At 36.0% G+C, this 21,411-nt stretch overlaps 1 protein-coding gene across 2 annotated transcripts in view, besides 1 other annotated feature; it reads right to left on the minus strand.

Moving 5' to 3' along the window:
- The window catches only part of EDIL3 (EGF like repeats and discoidin domains 3), a 444,327-nt gene that overhangs the window by 309,789 nt on the left and 113,127 nt on the right, over positions 1 to 21,411 (minus strand). For both annotated transcript variants that reach the window (NM_005711.5, NM_001278642.1), the window contains exon 2: positions 3,742 to 3,870. In NM_005711.5, the coding sequence (NP_005702.3) occupies positions 3,742 to 3,870 (129 nt within the window). The remainder of the gene's footprint in view (positions 1 to 3,741; positions 3,871 to 21,411) is intronic.
- Positions 15,270 to 15,953: an enhancer, noted in NCBI's record as "OCT4-NANOG-H3K4me1 hESC enhancer chr5:83561430-83562113 (GRCh37/hg19 assembly coordinates)". NCBI's record gives its function as "activates a minimal SCP1, AML or CMV promoter by ChIP-STARR-seq in primed H9 embryonic stem cells {active_cell/tissue: H9 hESC(primed)}" and the evidence as "EXISTENCE:reporter gene assay evidence [ECO:0000049][PMID:30033119]".

The following is a 21,411-nucleotide window of genomic DNA, read 5'->3' on the forward strand; positions in this document are numbered from 1 at the left end:
AATGCAGTATACAGAAATATCAAAAAATGTCCAGAGAAAAGCAATGTTGTCTAGTGAAGGAAGTTCACAAATCTGAGAAAGTCAATTCTGCCAAACTATCCTACGTAACACAGGAATGCAAGTGATGTGAGTATTGATTGCAAATGTGTTAAGTGTTTTGTGCTTATCTGACATTATATGCTTTGTGAGGGAAGAATAAAAGTACAAAACTGGATGAGGATCGCTTGAAATAAATATCAACAACCTGAAACAAAGCTACTGCAAAGTAGTAAGGTTTGAGGTAAAATCATGAAATGTTTTTCTCTAAGCATGCATTTGAAATTCTCCTTTCCAGATGAACTGCAATGAAAAGAGTATGTGTCTGACTGTAGAATAAACAGGATAAACATAATTTTAAAAACTGGGATCAAAAAACAACTTTTTCTAAGCAAATATAAATGAGATTATTTTCTTTCCTTTGGAAATTAAAAATATAAAGATTCAGAATTTCATAATATATATGGCTCAAAATTCATATGGTCTGAAATGGATAGAAGAAACCTTAGACACATCTCTATCTTTGTGGTAACTAATATGTAAGGAAAAATACAGACTAGTGACAGCTCAAATATTTTTTGTCTTTTAAGATATTACCTCAAAATACCCACATGTGTTTTTTGTTTGTTTGTTTTTTAAATTCCAATACACTCTGTTTCCTGCATTGGTGCTAGATAACAACAGGAGAACAATAACAAAAAAGCCTTGGCCAAGCCATTTATTTTTATTTTTATTTATATATTTATTTATTTGAGATGGAGTCTCTCTCTGTCACCTAGGCTGGAATGCAGTGGCACAATCTCAGCTCATTGCAACCTCTGCCTCCTGGGTTCAAGTGATTCTCCTGCCTCAGCCTCCCTAGTAGCTGGGACTACAGGAACCTGTTATTGTGCCCGGTTAATTTTTGTATATTTGGTAGAGACAGGGTTTCACTATGTTGGCCAGGCTGGTCTCAAACTCCTGACTTCGTGATCCGCCCACCTCGGCCTTCCAAAGTGCTGGGATTACCGACCAGCGTGAGCCACCACGCCCGGCCTTTTTTTTTTTTTCGAAACAAAAACGCAGGATGGTCTTTAGTAATCTAATGTTTGAAATATTTGATCCCAATATTAGTTTTAAAAATATGAAAAGACCCAAGGTAAGCTAGATATTAAAGGCATTACTACCAAGTATTACTATGCAATCAATATTTAGTACACCTTTCATATGCAAGAAAATATGAAGCTAAGAAAAAGCAGTAGAAAGGCAATAGGGTAATGTTTCTGTCATAAATAGGTATTGAACTTGAAAACTGTGCTTGATTTCTCATTATTTTCTGATCCTTTATAAAAATTACGTCATAATATAGGAAAGTTGTATTCAAGAAACTGTCAACACTTTAAGACTTTAGGAAAGTTTTTTCCTAGTATTTTAATGTTAGAACACCAGCACATGAAAATAGAATTGGTGTAACTAATATCCTATACTAAATGATCAAACAAATACAAACTAAATACATTTCTTCCAAAAACTCCTAAATACAGCCCAGAGAAGAATAGGGTTGTATGAAATGTATAATTAAAAAATATAGCTTAAAATAATACAGTATAACTATCCAATTTCTGAATATCAGAGATGTATACTAATATGTAATAATGAATCTGAGTAGAATTTAATTCTATAAGCGTTTAATTTCCCAAAGTCACACTGAACTAGGTGGGATATGGCAGCGTGCTTAGTTTTTAAAGTGTTGCTGCCCATAGTATCAGTCTTCAGATAAAATGTTGAATGTTGGATTAATATTTAAAAGTATAGCCCAAAAGTATACAAGTATTTACTTTAAAATTCGGCTGGCCGGGCGCGGTCGCTCACGCCTGTAATCCCAACACTTTGGGAGGCCGAGGTGGGTGGATCACGAGCTCAGGAAATCGAGATCATCCTGGCTAACACAGTGAAACCCCGTCTGTACTAAAAATACAAAAAGAAATTAGCCGGGCGTGGCGGCAGGCGCCTGTAGTCCCAGCTTCTCCGGAGGCTGAGGCAGGAGAACGGTGTGAACCCGGGGTGCGGAGCTTGCAGCGAGCTGAGATCGTGCCAGTGCACCCCAGCCTGTGCGACAAAGTGAGACTCCGTCTCAAAAAAAAAAAAAAAAAAAAAAAAATTCTGCTAAGATACTGATTTCTTAATCATTTACCTACATTTGTTTCTCTGATTCCAGATTTGGATCTTTCAAATAGTGCCAAAAATATTATATACTATTATACAACTCGAAGGCACTGCCAATTTGGGGTTGTTGGGCTTAAAATACAACACTAAAATTTTACTCTATTCATACATTTCTACTAGGGGTATTTATGACTCTAATTTTCTTCAGATATACAGACTTTCCTGAGGATATGATTCTCACATTAAACTCTGAAACTCAAATGTACATATTTGAAGCCTGGGTCAAAGTGGTTACAACAGTTTTATTTCGATGGCACTGTGTCAAACCTCCTAAAATATCAGTGAGTTAATAAAAGCATTAAAAGAGAATTATCTTTGAAGATGAATTAAATGAACAAAGTACCTTTCAGCAATAATAAACTTCTTTAGATAACATATATTCATAATGCAATATAAAAAATAAGGAAAATTCATTAAAAAAATAAAGCACACTACAATCCAGTAACTAATGGCCAAAGATGGTAAATTAATGGTTTTATTTAATTATTCTTTCTTTCATTCAACCAATAGTTACTGGATTTTTACTATGCATAAGGTAATTAAGTTAGGTGCACTGGGTACAATGATGGGTAATTCAGACTGATCCCTGGACGCTATTACTTTTCTTTTTCAAAACTATTTCCCCAAAGCCATTGAAGTGTCCTGTTTCTCTAAGGTTTATGCAGGTTGACAAAACATGTTTGGTTTCCTATAATGAACAGATATATTCCATCTTGTACTCTTCGTGGTACTAATGCGAAAAATATAAATTTTTTTCAAACTTACCTGTGCTATTAACTTTGAAAATTATTTCTCTCTTTAGTTAGAGAGAAAATCTCTGCACAAGTTTACATGGTGTTAAATTATTTTAAAGTACAGCTATTTCCTTAATGGGGACCTATGTGGAAATTACAGAAGTTACTCTAAATCCATAAGTATACATATTTCGCAGATTTTTTAAAAAACTATTTGAATGTAACCAATGACACATTAATTTTTGCAGAGCAAATTTTTTAGAAAACTTTGAAGAGCACTGCATCTGGAATATCCTCTTCTTTATATGCTTAGAAATATAAAATATATTTATCACCTAAGAAAAGTAATGATTAGAACAGCTACAAAATGCTGATGGATATTCGAAGTCCCTAAAAACATCCTGTTTTATTTACAGTGATAATTTAACTTGAATAAATTGACTTTGGAGTTATGTATTTTATTTGAGAATAAAATGTTAAATTTATATTAATATTAGAAATATAAGAAATGTTATATTTATGTATTATTTGTAATGTCTTTAAATTTAGTGTTAATTACTAAAAATATTTTAAAACTTAAAGAACACAATTAATATAATTTCAATATAAACTGGAAATGATACAACTGAGAATCCTACACAAAAGTAAACTAATTAGCAACATATAGCAATTTTACAACTAATCTCCATAATGCACCACAGCCAAACTGCCATTTATTCATGGAAATAAAAAGATAACTACTGAAATACTTAAATTTTGCACTTACCAACCTCCACAACACTAGAACAGTTGGGGTCTGTGAAGCCATCTGGACACTCACAGGAAAAGGAACCATCAGCCAATCCTGGCAAACAGATACCTCCATTTTCACATGGATTGGGATCACAAATATCACCTAAGGCATAAAAAAAAACCGAAATTGACATTTTTTTTTTGTCTTGGACATTGAAACATACTAGTTTACTTTGCTATGGATGTTCCCTTGGCAAAGTCAAAAGTCAGGGTAATATTAAGATTCACACATAAGATCTGCAAGACTCATTTCAAACCATGTACTCAAAAAAAAATACTATGTAACATGGCAAAAATTAAACTGCATAATTCAAACACTGCCTCTGAAAGCTATTGGTTCAGTTTGGAGTTCCTTCATAATATGTAAAGAGAATGTTGTCTAATTGGTTAATAAATATTAACCTAAATATCTGTAATAGACTAGTGTCATTAATTACTCTAATAAATACCTTCTTTATATCCACACAGTTTACTCTTTAACTCTTTAAAGGACAGGAGTTTATTTCTGGATCCCTAGAATCTGGGCTTGTCCATGTGACTTGCTTTGGCCAGTAGGTCGTTAACAGACTTGAAGACAACAGAGATTTGAAAAGCACTTGAAGACATCTACTTCCTCTCTTGGAGTGCTGAGATCGTCATGTGAATGAATTCAGGCTAGCTTGCTTGAGATGAGTGAAAGAAATGTGGAAGGATAAGAAAGAAACTGCTACAGAGAAATAACTTATGACATAACAGAAACCCCACAATACGTGGCCTTGGCTGTGGCAATGGGTGGCAGATAGTATCTGGAAAAGCAGTCATGGCCATGAAAAGCTAGAAAAATGGCTACCCATTTTATGTAGTGTGTAACAATTGATAAAGCTGTCATCTGAGGTAACTGGGGAGGTAGAACATGTATGCGATGAACTTTTCATATGAGTAAGGAGATTTCCGGGCAGACTGTTAAAGCATCAGTTGGCTCTTACTGCCTGCATATGATAAGGTGCTACAATAAAGAGATGAGCTAAATAAAGAACCAGTCCATTTGAAAGTAAAGGGAAGTAGTATACAAGGACCAGGACTTGTGTTAGAAAACACAATTGTTTCTAAACTCCCAACTCTCAAAGTGGTAAATTATCGAATGCCAGAAAGACATGGCCCAACATAAATATCAATCATGGATGTGGCTACAAACCTCCCTGTGAAAACATTTCAAATAATTCAGGTGGAGCCTGAAAGATCTTCTCAGCTAAATAAAAGGGCTTCTAGAGACCTTAAGGATTGTCCCTGAGAAGGCTGACACACCCAAAGTAGCACTGATTAAGTCTGGAGTAAAAAGCAGGCTTCAGACAGAATCATGGGTGTGGCTTTATTGCACACAGGATTTGAATCAGATGCACAAAAACCCATACAGTTTTAAAGGGAGCTTTGTAGGTGAAACTGCCACCTCCTGGACTCAATGAGTAAGGGACTTTTCAAAATAAAAAAGCATCTGGGCACCAACTTCCTACTAGTTTGTATTTCTTAGTTATGTTATTCTCTGTAAGGTTTTTCACATGAGAATTATTTAAACTCTTTTCCAGATGAAGCACTTTAAAAATATTTGAAAAATGAAAATTCAGGTTATGATTTCTGTCAAATATAAACCAAGTCATTAGCCACACTAAGATGATAGATTAAAACAGTACCTAAGTGCTGGAGCAGACCTTAGAAAAGAGAGTCATAAAATGAATGAATTAATGTTTGGGGAATACCAAAGAATTTAGCGTGGCTGGACCATGGAGTATTTAATCTGGAATGGCTAAGAAAGTATAAATATGTTAGATCAGGGAGGATTAAAAAGTGCCATTGTAATTTTTAAGATAAGGAATCAATGAGAGAGTGTCTAACATTTTTAACATGTATTTTAAAGTTTGGACATGGTCAGATCTAAATTAAGAAGACAATCCTGGCAGCATTTTGAATGGGGTGATTGATGACTGATAAAGATACTTCAGTAGACTTGCTATCATTTATATACTTATCATCTAACTATCTATCTATCTATCTATCTATCTATCATCTATCTATCTATCCATTTATCCATCCACACATATAGCTAGCTAGCTATCCTTCCATTTGTCTATCAATTTGTCTATCTGTCCTTCTAGTCCTTGAGTACCTATTGCATGGTAGGCAGGCACTGAGGTAAGTGCTGTATATACCAAACTAAATAACAGACTATGGAGCTTAGTGGGAGAGATAAAAATGCAGGAACAATTACAATTATACTACACAGTAGTAACACCTGCAACTGGTATACATGATCCAAACTGTGGGACCAGTGGAGACTTTTAAGGAGACTCAGTGCTATCAGGTGATGAAGAGGAGAGAGCGTATGCTTAATATTCCAGGCAAAGGGAATAACACACTTAAAGGAAAAAGGTCATGTCTCATTCCAGGAACTTCAGGTAGGCCACTGTAGCTAGAATATAAATACGTATTAGAAATAGAAAATGATGAGGTCCAAAAGGTAGGAAGGCCATATGAATCAAGGTCTTGTATGCTGTGCCAAAAATTTTGGAGTTTATCTTCAAGCACTGGAAAATTATAAAAGAACTTGAAATATGGGAAAGTGTATCACCACATTTGTGCTTTGGAAGAATCACTAAGGCAGCAATGTGTTGAATCAGATGGAGGAGGTTGGGCCGAGGGAAAAAGGAAAATGCATTTATTGTTTGAAGTAGTCTCAAAAAAAATGATGAAGATTCTCTTGACCCTTCATAGAGGTGGCTACAGACAGGGAAATCAAAAGAGGCATCATTTAATATCAAATCTAGTTAATAAATACTAGGTAATGAAACCAGAATAAAAGTTCCCCCAAATCAAGACCCACCCACCTATGTGGAGTAATCAGTGTAAGGACACAGTCTCATATTTACATATTTACCTAAAAATAAGAACCCTTCTTTCAGATCCCACTCTGTCCTATAACCAAGTTCTTGCATCAGATAGTAACTGAGGTAGGCCTACAGTCCTGATATACCCAGGGCCAAAGGAGGTTCTTTCAATTATCCCATCATTATGGAGAGTGCCTTAAGAATCCTTTCTGGTGCCTTAAGAAACCTTCCATGGCCCCTCTGCTGCCCTCTCTAGATGATAATGCTAAATCGAGTCAATTTTCTACCAGGCATGTGGGCCAGTCATATCATGTTTCTGTGGTCAAAATGAGACAGGACTATCTGCTCAAGTCTCATTATATCTTAGAGATGCCAACTGTTGTTTAACTGACATGTTTTTCTCTCTTCTCCTTGTAATTTTTGTTCTTCTTTTTTGCTTATGGAAACACATTTCTAATACACTCGAAATTTTCATCTTATTTCCATCATTAGCATACTATCTTTTGAAAGGGAGAAAACAGGTAATAGATTTGAGAAACATGTACAAGGTAGAATCAAGATGATATTTTGACCAAATTGATCCAGGGGTTGAGGAAGAGCAAAAAATTTGGGTTGATTTCCAGAGCTCCTGCCTGGATGATTGAGTAGCCATCCTTTATAAGGAAATATAGTAGATTCAGTTTTAAAGGGATTATTGTATTTGAAAAGTCTGTAGAAGATCTAAAATGAAAATGTCCGATTAAGCTATTATATAAGTAGATGTAGAATTAAAGAGCCTCTGCTTAAACATGACTTGTTAAGTATGAAGGTTAATACTATATTTCACTGAGTCTATTAAGGGAGGGCAGGGGAAGGGAGTGGAGGGGATGAGAGCAAAGAGAAACGAAGAGAGGAGAGGTCCTTAGGCATACCAACAAATAAGTGAGGAAAAGATATAAGATTCTTCATAAAAGAAAGAAGTTAATGCTTGGCCCATTGTAGCCCGGTATAAATGTTCAGTTTATTAAACTGTGGTCTACCATGTCAAAGTCTTTCTGAAATTAATAAGGGCCCCACATGCAACTGTGTTGGGTGGACAGTGGCAATAGAAACCAAAGTTTTGATCTTGGACAAAGTAGAGGATAAACAACAAACATAATTAGGGTTATTATAGATTTTGTTTAAAATCTGTTTCTCTATACATAATCATTAGTAGCATGCTTTAATCAGATGGGTTCTCCAAGAAGGAGATGCTAAGATGAAGTTAAGAGCGTAACAAGTTTATTGAGAAGTAATGTCTGCGAATGACAAAATGAGGAGGAAGCAGAAATGAGCAGGAAAAGCTTCAACTTGCGATATAGGTATGACACCAATAAAAATAAATGAAAGACATGAGGGTGGGGATGGTCGGGACAGGATTGACCAGGGAGAGCCTCAGTCTATAATGCAGATTTGAGAAAGTCTTAGTCAATCACACAGGGAGCTCCAGAGCAAAGATTATTGTTGGAAGGAATTCCCCTAGGTCAGGAATGACAGGCACTAGGGCAATCCAGGTAGAGTGAGGGCCTAAGGCTCAAGTAGGGTCCTGAAAGTTCTGCAGGAGGCTGTCAGCTAACTACATACTTGTAGCTGGACAGCACATTCTTTCTTAAAGAAGGATTAGAGCCGTGCACCTCCACGGGGACCCACAAACCCCTCTCACTCTCAAAACTGTCCTGATTTGAATGAGTTATACGGTTACTTAGGTCAAAACCATCATATCTCAGCCTATTTCCTTTATACGGCCATAATCTCAGTGGTTAGTACAGATGTGGGTTGATACCTTAAGTGAAAACAAACTCTCTCGGCTAGAATTTCACATCTAATTAAAATACACGGTAGGGATTTCTGATCCTCTGTAATGTCAGTTTATCCAAGGCAGTAGCACCTCAGGTAAGAAATTCTGACTAAAATGCAATAGGTTCCTAGACTTTAAATCAATAATTGTTTTCTGTTTGTTTCCCAGTGGATATGTTCGTAGAGTCTTTTTTTTTTTTTTTTTTTTTTGAGACAGAGTCTCGCTCTGTGCAGTGGCGCGATCTCAGCTCACTGCCAGCTCTGTCTCCCAGGTTCACGCTATTCTCCTGTCTCAGCCTCCAGAGTGGCTGGGACTACAGTCGCCCGCCACCATGCCCAGCTAATTTTCTGTATTTTTAGTAGAGACAGGGTTTCACCATGTTAGCCAGGATGGTCTCGATCTCCTGACCTCATGATCTGCCTGCCTTGCCCTCCCAAAGTACTGAGATTACAGGCGTGAGCCACCACACCTGGTCTGGTAAAGTCTTTTAAAACTGCAATGACAACCAGTAGAAGAGGTTAGGCTAAGGAAAGGAAAACAGGGCAATATAAGATTTCATGGTTATTTATCCTACTGTCAGCAGGCTCCTAAAATATACTTCTGCATATTGTAATGTGTGTAGCATTATACTTTGATGTTTCTTGGCCGGCTGGCCTCACCTGCTTAGATTAGGACAGATGTGTTTAATTTGATTCTAACCATGTTTTATGGTTCCATCTGCAGTTTATGGCAGATTCAGGCAAATTAAGCTCATGCCGATTTGCTTTTTGGCAACAGAATAAAGCAATTATTTTTCCCAGGGGCAAGAAATCATTGCAGGCTAAATTTAACTTACTGTTTGCCTGCTCTTTCCACCCACTCTCCAGAGTTCTGATCGGACTGCATGATTCTGCATGAAATCAACATTGTCTTCATTCTTCTCACTGACCTCCTACTTGTTGCCAGTCACCTCATGTTCAAGGTGATTTAGGCACTATCTTATTTTACTTCATTACCCATTTGCAATCCATGACCTTTTAACCTCAACAGCAAAGTGTGTGAGCACCTATAAAATACTACTTGGTATTGCAGAAGACAATGGTTAAAAAAAACCGAAAAGCCTAAAATAGGTACCTTTATGATTGTGGTTGTGCATTTTCTGTGAGCTTAGTATATAATTATACAACTTCTCATGCCATACAAAGAAGAAAATTCTATGTTGGTACTACTGAGAATCAGGTAGAAAGGACAGCTGATTTTGTTCACTGATAATTAAACTCTTGGATAGTTTGTGTTCAGGTTTCTTTATATGTTAGTGTTTGTCTCCAGTACACATATCAGAGAATTACTGAATCATTAATCACATATTCATATGCCACAAATAAATAAGGTAGCACTCACTGTAATAAAAGCCATGAGAGGAGGGAGAAACAGGCTGATGAGAAAAACAGCAAATAAAACTGGTTATTTATGACAGACAGTGAAGCAAGGCCTTCACAAGAGCTGCAAACTGAAGAATGAACTAGAATCAGTGGTGTTAAAGCCTAACGAAGAGCATTCTAGGCACAGGGAACAGGAAGTGGTCAGCCCTCATGATAGGTAAGACAGAGATGATTTCAGGAACAGAAAGGAAGACAGGGGAAAAACTCTCAATAAGTGTTTATTGCCAGCAACACATTTTTAATAGAAACTGATTGATAATTTAAAGCCCAACATTTGATCCTCTGTGTTCCTGGTAATCAAGGGCAATTCTACTAAGCTTACTCTTTATATGCAGTAAACATCTACTGAACATATACTATTGTATTAATATTTACAGGCTAATGTACTTATGAATTTACATGTTGAACTCTTTCTTACATATTAATGTATTTACATAGTACTGTTAATGTATTTATGTATTGACAGTTATATAAATATCCTAATAATTTATTTAGATGAATGCATGCTTCTCCATTTTCTCTGCTCTTTTCAAAGTGCTGGCAGCCACCTAGAATATGTCTGCACCATCATCCCTGCCCTCTCTCCATTTCTGTAAAGAAATTTGTATACAGATATAGAAGTAAAAGCAAAAAAGTAGTAATATATCACCACAGAATGTTACCTCACTAACACAAGACATTATTAAATTTCTTCAATATCTCAACAAACTAAATGTGAAGAACATTGCAATACATACTTACATATGGAAAAGTAAAATGCAGAGACAATTTAAATTCATGTTTTGCATCTGTGACAATGCAGCTCTGTGCATTACAACCTCATCTTCAATCTATTGCTTTCTTGTTGAACTGTACTATCATTTCACTTAAAAACTGAAAGAAAATAAAGGTTTTGCCTTCTATTGTAGAAGCGAGAGTTTTGAACCAATCTATAGACAGAATATTTGACAAAATGAGCCAACTCTAGTACACAAGTGAGTAATAATTCTAGTTAAAATTAGATAAAGTTCATGAGAATTTGCATACTCAAATTGGTAAAACTCACAGAAAATGTTAGCACCCTTATGACTTACTACCTGTGAAATTGTGTGGAACAAAATAAATGTCATTTTTAAAAATCAACAATAGCCTCACAATTTGCTTTTGTGCCTCTTTAGAGACCATTTGTGTTGAATATTGATATTTCACTTGTTGAACATTCTAATGAGTTTGATGCATAGGTTTTGATTTAAAGCTTTTTCTCACAATTAAAGCTTATGAGTGTGGCCAATTTAAATTTCAAATAAATTTGTTAAGAAGGTGCAATCTGATTCTTACCTTCATATGTACTTTAAAAGTAAATTCTAGTTATTATTGCAGACCACCTTGCAATTTGGAAGTATACAGAAGGAAATAAGATACAAATGTCAATAGGAATAATTATATCTTCATTGATAGAATCTGCTATTTTACTGGTAAATCATTAGACATCCTTGCAATAAAAGACCATCCATTTCTCCACCTCAGTGTCCACAGAATCCAAAAATAACCACAGAAGACAAAAATCAAATAAATGAACAAAGAAACCTCTTAGACTTAGACTCACTCAAAACCACATTAATGCTAATTTAAAGCAGGACATCTCTTAGATGTTATCCAGTGGTTTGCCTCACTATTTTTAAGACATTTTTCTTTTTAGCTAGGTTTTCAAATGCTAAGGGTATATTGGGCTGAAGAAAATAAGGAGAAAATCTGCTGTTCAGTGTTGACTATTTGAATTTCACAGCTGATGACATAAGGCTTCAATCAAGGTCTACTGGATAAAAAGACAAAAATGTTTTGGGCTCTAACATTTTGAAAAACAAAATCTTTTTGCATATGTTTTAGTTTAAAACACTCTGGAAAGTCCCTTAAAAGAACCTACAGTTTCTAGAATTGAAAAGGACATTCGAAATGAACTAATCCAGTGGTTCTCAGACTTTACTGCATATTAAAATCACAGGGCCGGGGGAGGCTTTTCAAATATCTCATGCCCAGTCCAGTTAAATCAGAATCTCTGGGGATGGTTCCCAGCCCTCCACAGTTTCTTAAAGCTAATCCAAATATCTCAATTTATTCAAGAAGAAGGAGAAAGGAATAGGAAAAACCAAGGAAGAAAAGGAAGGAGGGAAAGAGGAAGTTTGGAAGTTAGTTTGTATTTTCTTGCCTTTAATTGGGAGAAAGGCAAATGAGGAAGGTATTTATGTGACTAGCTTTCTTTGTTAATTCACTGAGTTAAGAAAAAAATCATTTGCAGGAAGCTACAATCAGCAAATCATAAATAAGGGCACTCACTATGTTAGGGAAAATAGAATAGCTACTATTTAATATTAACATACATTCCCTACAAACATGTAATCCTTACAAAATAAGTAGCGAAAATTTTGTAAATAACCAGGAAATTCAACCATAAACTACAATTCCCAAGGTTGGTTGGTTTTTTTTTTTTTTTTTTTTTTTTTTTTTTGAGATGAAGTCTCACTCTGTCACCCAAGCTAGAGTGCAGTAGTATGATCTTGGCTCACTGCAACCTCCGCCTCCCAGGTCAGGCAATTCTCATGCCTCAGCCTCCTGACTAGCTGGGATTACAGGCATGTGCCTTTATGCTCAGCTAATTTTTTGTAGTTTAGTAGATATGGGGTTTCACTGTGTTGTACAGACTGGTCTTGAATTCCTGAGCTCAGACAATCTGCCTGCCTCAGCCTCCCAAAGTGCTAGGATTATAGGCATGAGCCACCGCGCCCCTGGCCCCAAGCATTTTTGACTATATTATTTCTACCTATGAAGAATATCCATCCAATCATTAGTTAATATTTACTGAAGCCCATCTATATGCCACTAAGTCATAATTACTGCACATATTATAGGGCCCATGATGGACAAATTCCTATTCTCAAAGACTCTCACAAAAAGACACAAATAAGTTGATAAATAGTTACCACTGCTTGTTAGGTCCAAGAAAGCATGAGAGAGGGCCACCAAACCCAGAACTGTGAGTCAAGAAGCCTTCTGAGAGCAAGTGACCTTCCATTAGAGACCAGAGTGAGCACCAGTGTTGCACAGTTCTGAGGGCTCAGTTTAGCTAAGGGCCAAGAAGTACTGTCTTGCTTTAGAAAAGGTGATGTTCCTTGATGACCTAGATGAAGGCACATCCACAGGAGTGGTAGGCATCAGTGCCAGCCTGAAGTAGGTTAAAGAATCAAAGGGGTAGGTGTATTAGAAGTAATGATGCAATTCTTTCAGGAGTTAGATGAAAGCATGGCAGTGTGTTATGCGGGATATACCACCGTGATTTAAGAAAATCGCACGGGGCAGAGTTGGCATCCTACTCTGCTACTCTCTAATTATTCTGTGTTTCTAAATCATTGTTTGCTTTTTTGAAAAATGGTAATGGTAAAGGTTAAATGTTAGAATGCAGGTTACAAGTTTAGTGAAGTTCCTGCCATAGAAAGTGCTCAATAAATGTTAGTCAAATACCTATAGAAATCTAGTGGGACACATTTTGGAAATATATTTAAAACATCAGAAACCTGATGATGTAGGTGCTGATAGAAGCAACTACTAGAAAGAAGTGGTTAAAGAAAACAGTGGAGAAGGAATAATCAGAAGGGTGAGAGCATGTGTACAAATACGATGAATGAGCCTCGGAGTACATATGGAAGGATTCAGCTTTGACTCAAGGAGGAAGATGTACCAGGAAGTTTGAGCCTGGATGACACAAACTGAAGGAGTTCTGGCCAGGAATGATGGCTCATGCCTGTAATCCTAGCACTTTGGGAAGCTGAGGCAGGCAGATTGAGACCAGGGGTTTGAGATCAGCCTTGCCAACATGGTGAAACCCTGTTGAGTTAGAGGTATACTAAAAATGCAAAAATTAGCTGGGCATGGTGGTGTGCATCTGTAGTCCCAGCTACTCGGGAGGCTGAGGCATGAGAATCCCTTGAACCAAAGAGGTGGAGGTTGCAGCGAGCCGAGACTGTGCATCTGCACTCCAGCCTGGGCGGCAGAGCCAGACTATGTCTCCAAACAAACAAACAAATAAATTGAAGGAGTTCCCATTTGAAGTTTTCTGTGTAGTAGGCTGCTGCGAATGTGATAGGACCAGAAGTTTGAGAAGGATAGAAGGTAACATGCGCATGCAGTAAATAGAAGGTTGTTGCCTGGGAAAACATAGAAAAATGATGGAGGGAAAGTACTGAGGGCCCACACAAGAACTTAAAATGTCAACATGTACCCCACTGTGTATCTGGTCAGAGCTCAACAGCTGAGGTAGTGCAGGCACGCAGCAGATGATGGATCCAGGCTTGTGGTTTTACCAGATAGGTGTGATGAGGGTCGACAGCAAAGGAGTGACACCTGACCACTTTATGTTTGTTGAAAAATACACAATATAGCTTACTGAACTTTACGCTTTTAGATAATATATTTTTGTAATTATGCAACAATTACAAACCCAGAAAATTGTTCTTTCAGAGAAGATTGCAGCTCTTCAGTTGACAGCAGAGGACAAACTAAAATATTGAATTTAGCTGCTGTATATAAATAATGCAGCACATCATGATGGCAACAGTTAGTCCATCAATCTCTGTCAAGAACACAAACTCATACTGACTTTATAAAAACAATCAAGTGCTACAAAAAAGATGAAATTCAGTGCCACGTCCAGCTGTAGAAGTTTCACAGAATCTTCTTATTTAGATCTTAGATTGTGAATTCTTACTTTTTCTAAGCGTAAATCTGGTCAGTCACATATAAAAATAACCTCCAAGGAAAACAAGTCAAACACAAGTTGGTTAACTTGATCACTTATTAAGCAAAGTCACCTAAAAGAAGAACAGAACATTTTGCTAATCACTAGATAAAACTGTTATATCAATTTTTCAGGCAGAAAGGTATGTAATGTTAAAATTACAGAAAAAAAATTGCAAAGCCTAATTTCATGCTTTAATTATATCTTGTTTAAAAAGTCATAATTTAAGACAGCAGTAGAATGTCTTAGTTTCAAGTTACAGCATGTAAAAGCCAAACGGGTATCTTTTACTGTTGAGAATTTATACCTTATACTGCAGCCCCAACTATTTACTGCCAGGATGTTTTAAGTCACCTCATTGCATAACATTATAAACTATGTTGCCAAACTTGACTGTATATGCTTATCTATTTAGTGGTTGGCAAATACAGAGACATCACAAAAATTAAAAGTGGTACTCTTTCAACTGAAAATAGTCAATAGACAGCTAGTTAACTTTGGAAAAGAAATCATATTTTAAAAGTCAGGTTTAGATCTTGACGAAATTTTGTAAAAAGTGAATGATTTCATACACACCTTTTACAACGTTTTCACATGAAGACAACGTTTTATAAAAGAGTTGATATATGTTCTAATTCCAAAGAATCTCTAAAGTTCTATGAAGTAAGTCTTTTTATTCACAGCCACAACAGTCTTAGGGAGCAAAAACACAAATCACTTTGATAAGGCACCCCTCTGTAGACAAGCTTACTGATAAACATGAGAACAAATGAGCTCTTGAATTCTTTAACAAACATGGAATCTGTTATTCAGATTTAATGGCTATATGGCCAATGCGTTTCCTTAATGTATGGGAGTTCTTGACAAGGAAAGACAACTGAGCAATTAACTCAGTGGAAGTCAGAAATTATGGGTGTTTTGCCACTTTCTTGGTTTCCAACAGGTGTCAGGTTATTGCTGTTAACACTCCAATTTGCATCTTTATAGGGAACAACCTAATTGTAAGGAGAAACTCAAAGTGCCCTTTCTTCAGGAGTTACAGTTGCCTTAATGGAATTCCATTTAGAATACATGCTTTTACACTAAGTAAACCACATAAATATTTAGGAAGTGGGGTTTTGTTACCTCTCTGGGCTACCAAATAAAATGTGACTTGCTGAAAAGAAGACATTAAGCACAGAAAGGGACAACTCTTTAAGAACTTGAATACATTCAAAAACCCATTGCCTCTATTCTATCAATAGCCTCACTGCATTGGGTCACACAACATGACCACTTAGTGGTATTCAGTCTCTGTATCCCTCCTGTCCTCATTTTTGTGATGATTTGGTCCCATCAGATCCTTTCCAAACCCTGAGCCAGCCCCAACATGAAAGAGGAGGGCTTTATGCAGCTCTAACCCAAAGCTCAGAAACCAGCACTGGTTTATCTCTGCTATTGAAGAGGCTTTGACCTTATCTGTCTATCTCTTTTCTCATTGGTTGAATTCTCTACACAGTTTTGTCAGAGACTCTCACGGGGTGGTATGCGTGCAGTTTAGTATCATCTTGGGTACAGGGCTTCAAGTTATATAAAACCTTGGGGAACTCCTATCCCAGGTCCCATGTAGCTCTGTTTTGACATGACTGCCTTGGCAAGGAACTAATGGGGATACCTCTGATGCTCTCAGAGTTTGGGAGGATAAAAAAGATCTTGAACCACTTGTATATAAATCCTCTTTTCCACCTTCCTCTCTCTACATTCCTATTACTTATAACTAGCCTTAGGCCTAAAATCACACAAACTGTTCCTGACAAATTTTTCTGGCACAAATTACCTGCTTGCACAAATCCCCAAATTTCATATACCCTTGGATTCTTCTATTCCATTTAGTAGCCTATTTGTTAGTATATTTTATCATTTTATAGTAACAGTAGTTATTTTTGTGCCTTCACTATGTACCAAAAATTATACTAAGTGTTTTATGGGTATTATCACATTTAAGCTTCATAATATCCCTGTGGGAAAATTCTCTGATGTGATAAACCTCATTTTACTTATGGAAAAAATAAATTTTATGAATTGGTATAATTTATCCAAAGACACAGAACAGTAAATGGTAAAGTAGTATTCACATACAAACAACATGGCTTCAGAAATGAAATCTGTGTGTTGGAATGGTTTCCCTTGCCTTTAGTCTTCACTTTCTCCCTTCACCTCTTCAAGTTCTTCACCTTCTTCAAGGTCTCTTCATTCTCTACCCTGTGGCCAATTATTTAATATTGTTGTGTATTGCCCACCCTTCTTATCTTTTGGAAAGCTTTGGCCTCTTGCATTAATCTTCTCATCACTTGCATATGTGATCTTCCTTTTGTGAAAATAGGAATAATTCTGGGTTTCAGTTTGCAGTTATTAACATGGCTATGCCCCTTAGTATGATAATTTATCCTCCTAAGGTGGGTAATGCTTAGTGTTTCTAGAAAGTAATGGCAGACACATGATAGTAGCGCAGATACCAGAATAGACCAGCTTTCAAAAAGATGCTAGAAAGATATATTGGTTCCATACTGAGTTTTATTTGAGTATTACAAAAGGAACCCATCTATGGCTTCCAATCTTCCTTGGAAAATTTTTTGAATGGCCACAGCATATGAATCATCATTTGAGTTGAGAGTGACAAGTCTTGGACAGTAGTTGTTTCAAAGCAGGTTCAATATGTATCTGAACAAGGGATTTCATACATACATTTGAATGTATTTATGTATATGCTCTCTTACCAAAAAAAAGACAATGATGACAATAAACAATCACATGAAAATGATAAAATATATGAAATGACAAAATGACAGTAATGGAGCCTTTGGAAGCCTGAGGTTGCACATCTCAGTAATAATTTGGCCAAAGGCCAGGCTCTGTGGCTCATGCCTGTAATCCTAACACTTTGGGAGGCCGAAGCAGGCAGACTACCTGAGCTCAGGAGTTCGAGGCCAGCCTGGGCAACATGTTGAAACCCCATGTCTACTAAAATACAAAAAGTTAGCTGGGCATGGCTGCGTGTGCCTGTAGTCCCAGCTACTCGGGAGGCTGAGGCAGGAGAATTGCTTGAACCCGGGAGGCAGAGGTTGCAGTGAGCCAAGATCGCGCCACTGCACTCCAAGCTGGGTGACAGAGTGAGATCTCGTCTCCAATAAATAAATAAATAAATAAATAAATAACAATAATAATTTGGCCAAAAAGAGTTAACTGTCCTTTGATAATGATCCTATCTCATGGCAGGTGTACATAAAATAGAGCTGTTAGCAGAATAATGAGCAACTTCTGGACTACATGGCTTAAGAGCTTTTTTTCCTGTTGTGAATGATACTTTAAGCAACAAAGTCAACTATGCATTCTTTCTGCAAACACCAGTCCTTTCTGAATCCATGTTATGCTTAGAAAAATAAGATTATAACCATTTACACGAGAGTAAAATGGTTAATCACTGAAAATTTAAAGCATACATATTTAAAATGACACAGCAAGGATTTCAGACATAGATATCAATATATTTCTAATGATATGAACTACTTCCTTCAGCTAACCTTTATTTGACATTGATATTAGTTTTTAATTCATTAATGTTGCACAAGAAGCTGCTCTGTACATAAAGATTTTCCCTTAGGTTTTTAGATAAAAATAACACCTCTGTTTCACTTAGCATCTTTGATGATTCACGCACTTTTATTGTTAGAAAAAATAAGAAAATCACCTATATTCACAAGATTTTAACCATGGCAGTATAATTCAGGGGCATATATTATCAATCACCACTTCGTACTGTTCCATTATAAAATTCAATACATCTTTCTAATTCTAAAAATAGTGTAAGCTCACTGTAAACAGTTCAGATAATGCAGTAATAGGGAAAGCACAAAGCACAAATTCTCTATCATCCCATATCCCATCACTAATTTGAATTATAGTCCACAAATCTTTGTCCGTTTAGCTCTATTCATTCTAATCAATTATTTTCATTTTAATAAAAAATAAAGACATATCTTCCTGAAAAAGTTTAAAAAGTTATTACATGAACTTTAAACACCCTCTTCTTTTTGTTCCCTCATCATATATGTAGCCACTGTTAGCTCATTTTATGTATCCTTTCTGAAAATTTATATATGATCTCTTTTATGTTTCTTTCACACGAATGGACAGAAATGGCACATTGTTCCATTTCAAGTAATTTTTGCTTTGCAATATGTCTCAGAGATTGTCAGCACAAAGCCATTTCACTTTTTTCAGCAAATATATGGTATTCAAAAATATGAATATGTCAAAATTTATATGTAGTTCTATACTATTGGACATTTAGGAGGCTTTAATTTTTTCCTTTTACAAAGTATTTATGAATCAATCACCCTTGTACAAATATCTCTGTGAACTTTTACTTGTACAGGAAATATAACCTTAGACATAGACATATCATTCAAAATTTTTATTCTGTCTAGTATCCTTTCAGAAATATTATCTCAATAAAGAATACTACTAATAGTATATCACTTTTAGTTATGGTTGGTGGCATTGCAGCTGGGACTGTCTCCAAATTAATTTATATTAGTGTAAGCAATATGTTCATATGATTTCTGTTTCTCCACAATAGTAATTTTGCAAGGTTGGCTCTAACAAGATGAACTCTGAGTTCTTATGATCTAGGAATAAACAATAAAGTCAGATCTACTTTATTGCATAACTAATCCAAAAGATACAGAAATCTGGGGGCTCTTAGAGCTTTATTCTGGACATTATCCCCAAAGTTAATGCAACTGTTGGCAATTTTCCCAGACCTAGGGTTAGGAAGCTCAAGAGGCATATCAGTAGACACTAAAGAGTTTCCAAACTACCTGGCCTGCCATCTTCTCTAATCTCCCCAACGTTCTTCACTTTAAGTTTGGGATAACTCTTTATACAGCAAATGATGAGAATTTGTAAAGATGGGGTCACTAAACAAATGCTGTTGGATCTTGTCAAGTCCTTTGTTAAATGAAAAAGCAGTGTATGCTCTATGATCTCTCTCTAAAGTTGGAGTAAGCGAGAGAAAAATCTAGAAGGATATGTGCAAAAATATCAACGTTAGTTATCTCTAGATAGTGAGATCACAAGGGTATTTAAATATTCTTCATTGTGTTTATCTTTATTTTGTAATGTTTTCTACAATTATATGCACTGATTTTTTATAATAAGAAAAAATTTAATTTAAAAACTCACAACCTATAAAAACCCAATTAGCAGCAAAGTAGAAGCAGAAATGATAACTACTAAGGTTGAATGGAAATAAACAAAGGTTAGTGAGTATCATGATGGGCCATGAATGTTAAATGTTTCCTTAATGTAGCGAATACTAAACGTGGGATCTTCAGGAGCCCAGCACATTCTCATCAGACATACATTGCAGATGTGAAATATTTAGGTTTATCATAGCTGTTTAACTCATAAGCCTAAGGATATATACACATCTGTCAGTAAATTTATTGATATTATTTGCTTACCTTACCATGGGGTTTGTCAACTTATAACACCTCTTTGACAAAACTAATGCATAAATTAATTCTAGAACAATTCTTATTTTCATTAATATGTATACTGAGAGGGTGAAATTTGTATTTGCTTTAACGAACACCAACAACATACTAACCACTAAGAACGAATCATGTGGCAAGCACCGTTCTAAGTTCTAAGCACTTTATAAGATATTATCTCTCATGAACTTCACAATCATCATAGGCCATGAATGCTACTATTGTCACCATTTTGTAATAAAAAAAGTTAATAAAAAGTAACTTACAACTTTAATTTCTTATTCTCCGACCTAGAGCCTGACAGAAAGAGTGAAGTGATATCCGTGGAGAAGGCAGACATGAAAATATCATAGAAACATAAATAACGGTCTAGATTACTTATACAGCCAAACCTGAAAAAAAATCCCTAGTCATTCATCAATCCCTTCATTCACTCAAAGAACATTTATTGTGCTCCTACTGGATTCAAAGTGCAGGGTTAATTCGTATGAGTTATACCACGAATTTGTGACACAGTCCTGGTCTACCCAATTTATTCTTTAAATTTTATCTAAATATTTTAAAATTCATCTTTTCTGAGACTTTCTAAAAGAAGAGAAATAGACCTAATTGACCCTATTTGAAAATACCACATTATTAATAAGTATTGTAATATGAAATTAGATGTGAAATTAGAATGCCCGTTTAACTATCACTTAAAATAAAGGAGAGACCTGGCTAACACGGGGAAACCCCGTCTCCACTAAAAATACAAAAAATTAGCCGGGCTTGGTGGTGGGCGCCTGTAGTCCCAGCTACTCGGGAGACTGAGGCAGGAGAATGGTGTGAACCCGGGAGGCAGAGTTTGCAGTGAGCCGAGATTGCGCCACTGCACTCCAGCCTGGGCGACAGAGCGAGACTCTGTCTCTACAAATAAATAAATAAATAAATAAATAAATAAATAAATAAATAAATATAAAATAAAGGAGAGACTTAGTCTATTGCAGAAGGAAAATTAATGCTGATGTTCACAGGATCCCTTATAAATGATTTATGTGCCTTGGGTTGTCCCCATGAAGCCCCCAGTCACTGATATGTTGTAAGCTTGTAAGCTACTGAAATTTACTTACCTCTGGAAAAGAAAATCTATTTTATGTTCACTTAAAACCCCTTATCAAGTTTTTCACTTTGATTAATGAAATTATGTTTCATGCTTTTTCAAGTAATTACTTAATTACTAAATCAGCTACAATCCAATACCATTAGGA

The sequence above is a fragment of the Homo sapiens genome, chromosome 5, assembly GCF_000001405.40.
Source record: "Homo sapiens chromosome 5, GRCh38.p14 Primary Assembly".
In the NCBI taxonomy this organism is placed as follows: Eukaryota; Metazoa; Chordata; class Mammalia; order Primates; family Hominidae; genus Homo; species Homo sapiens.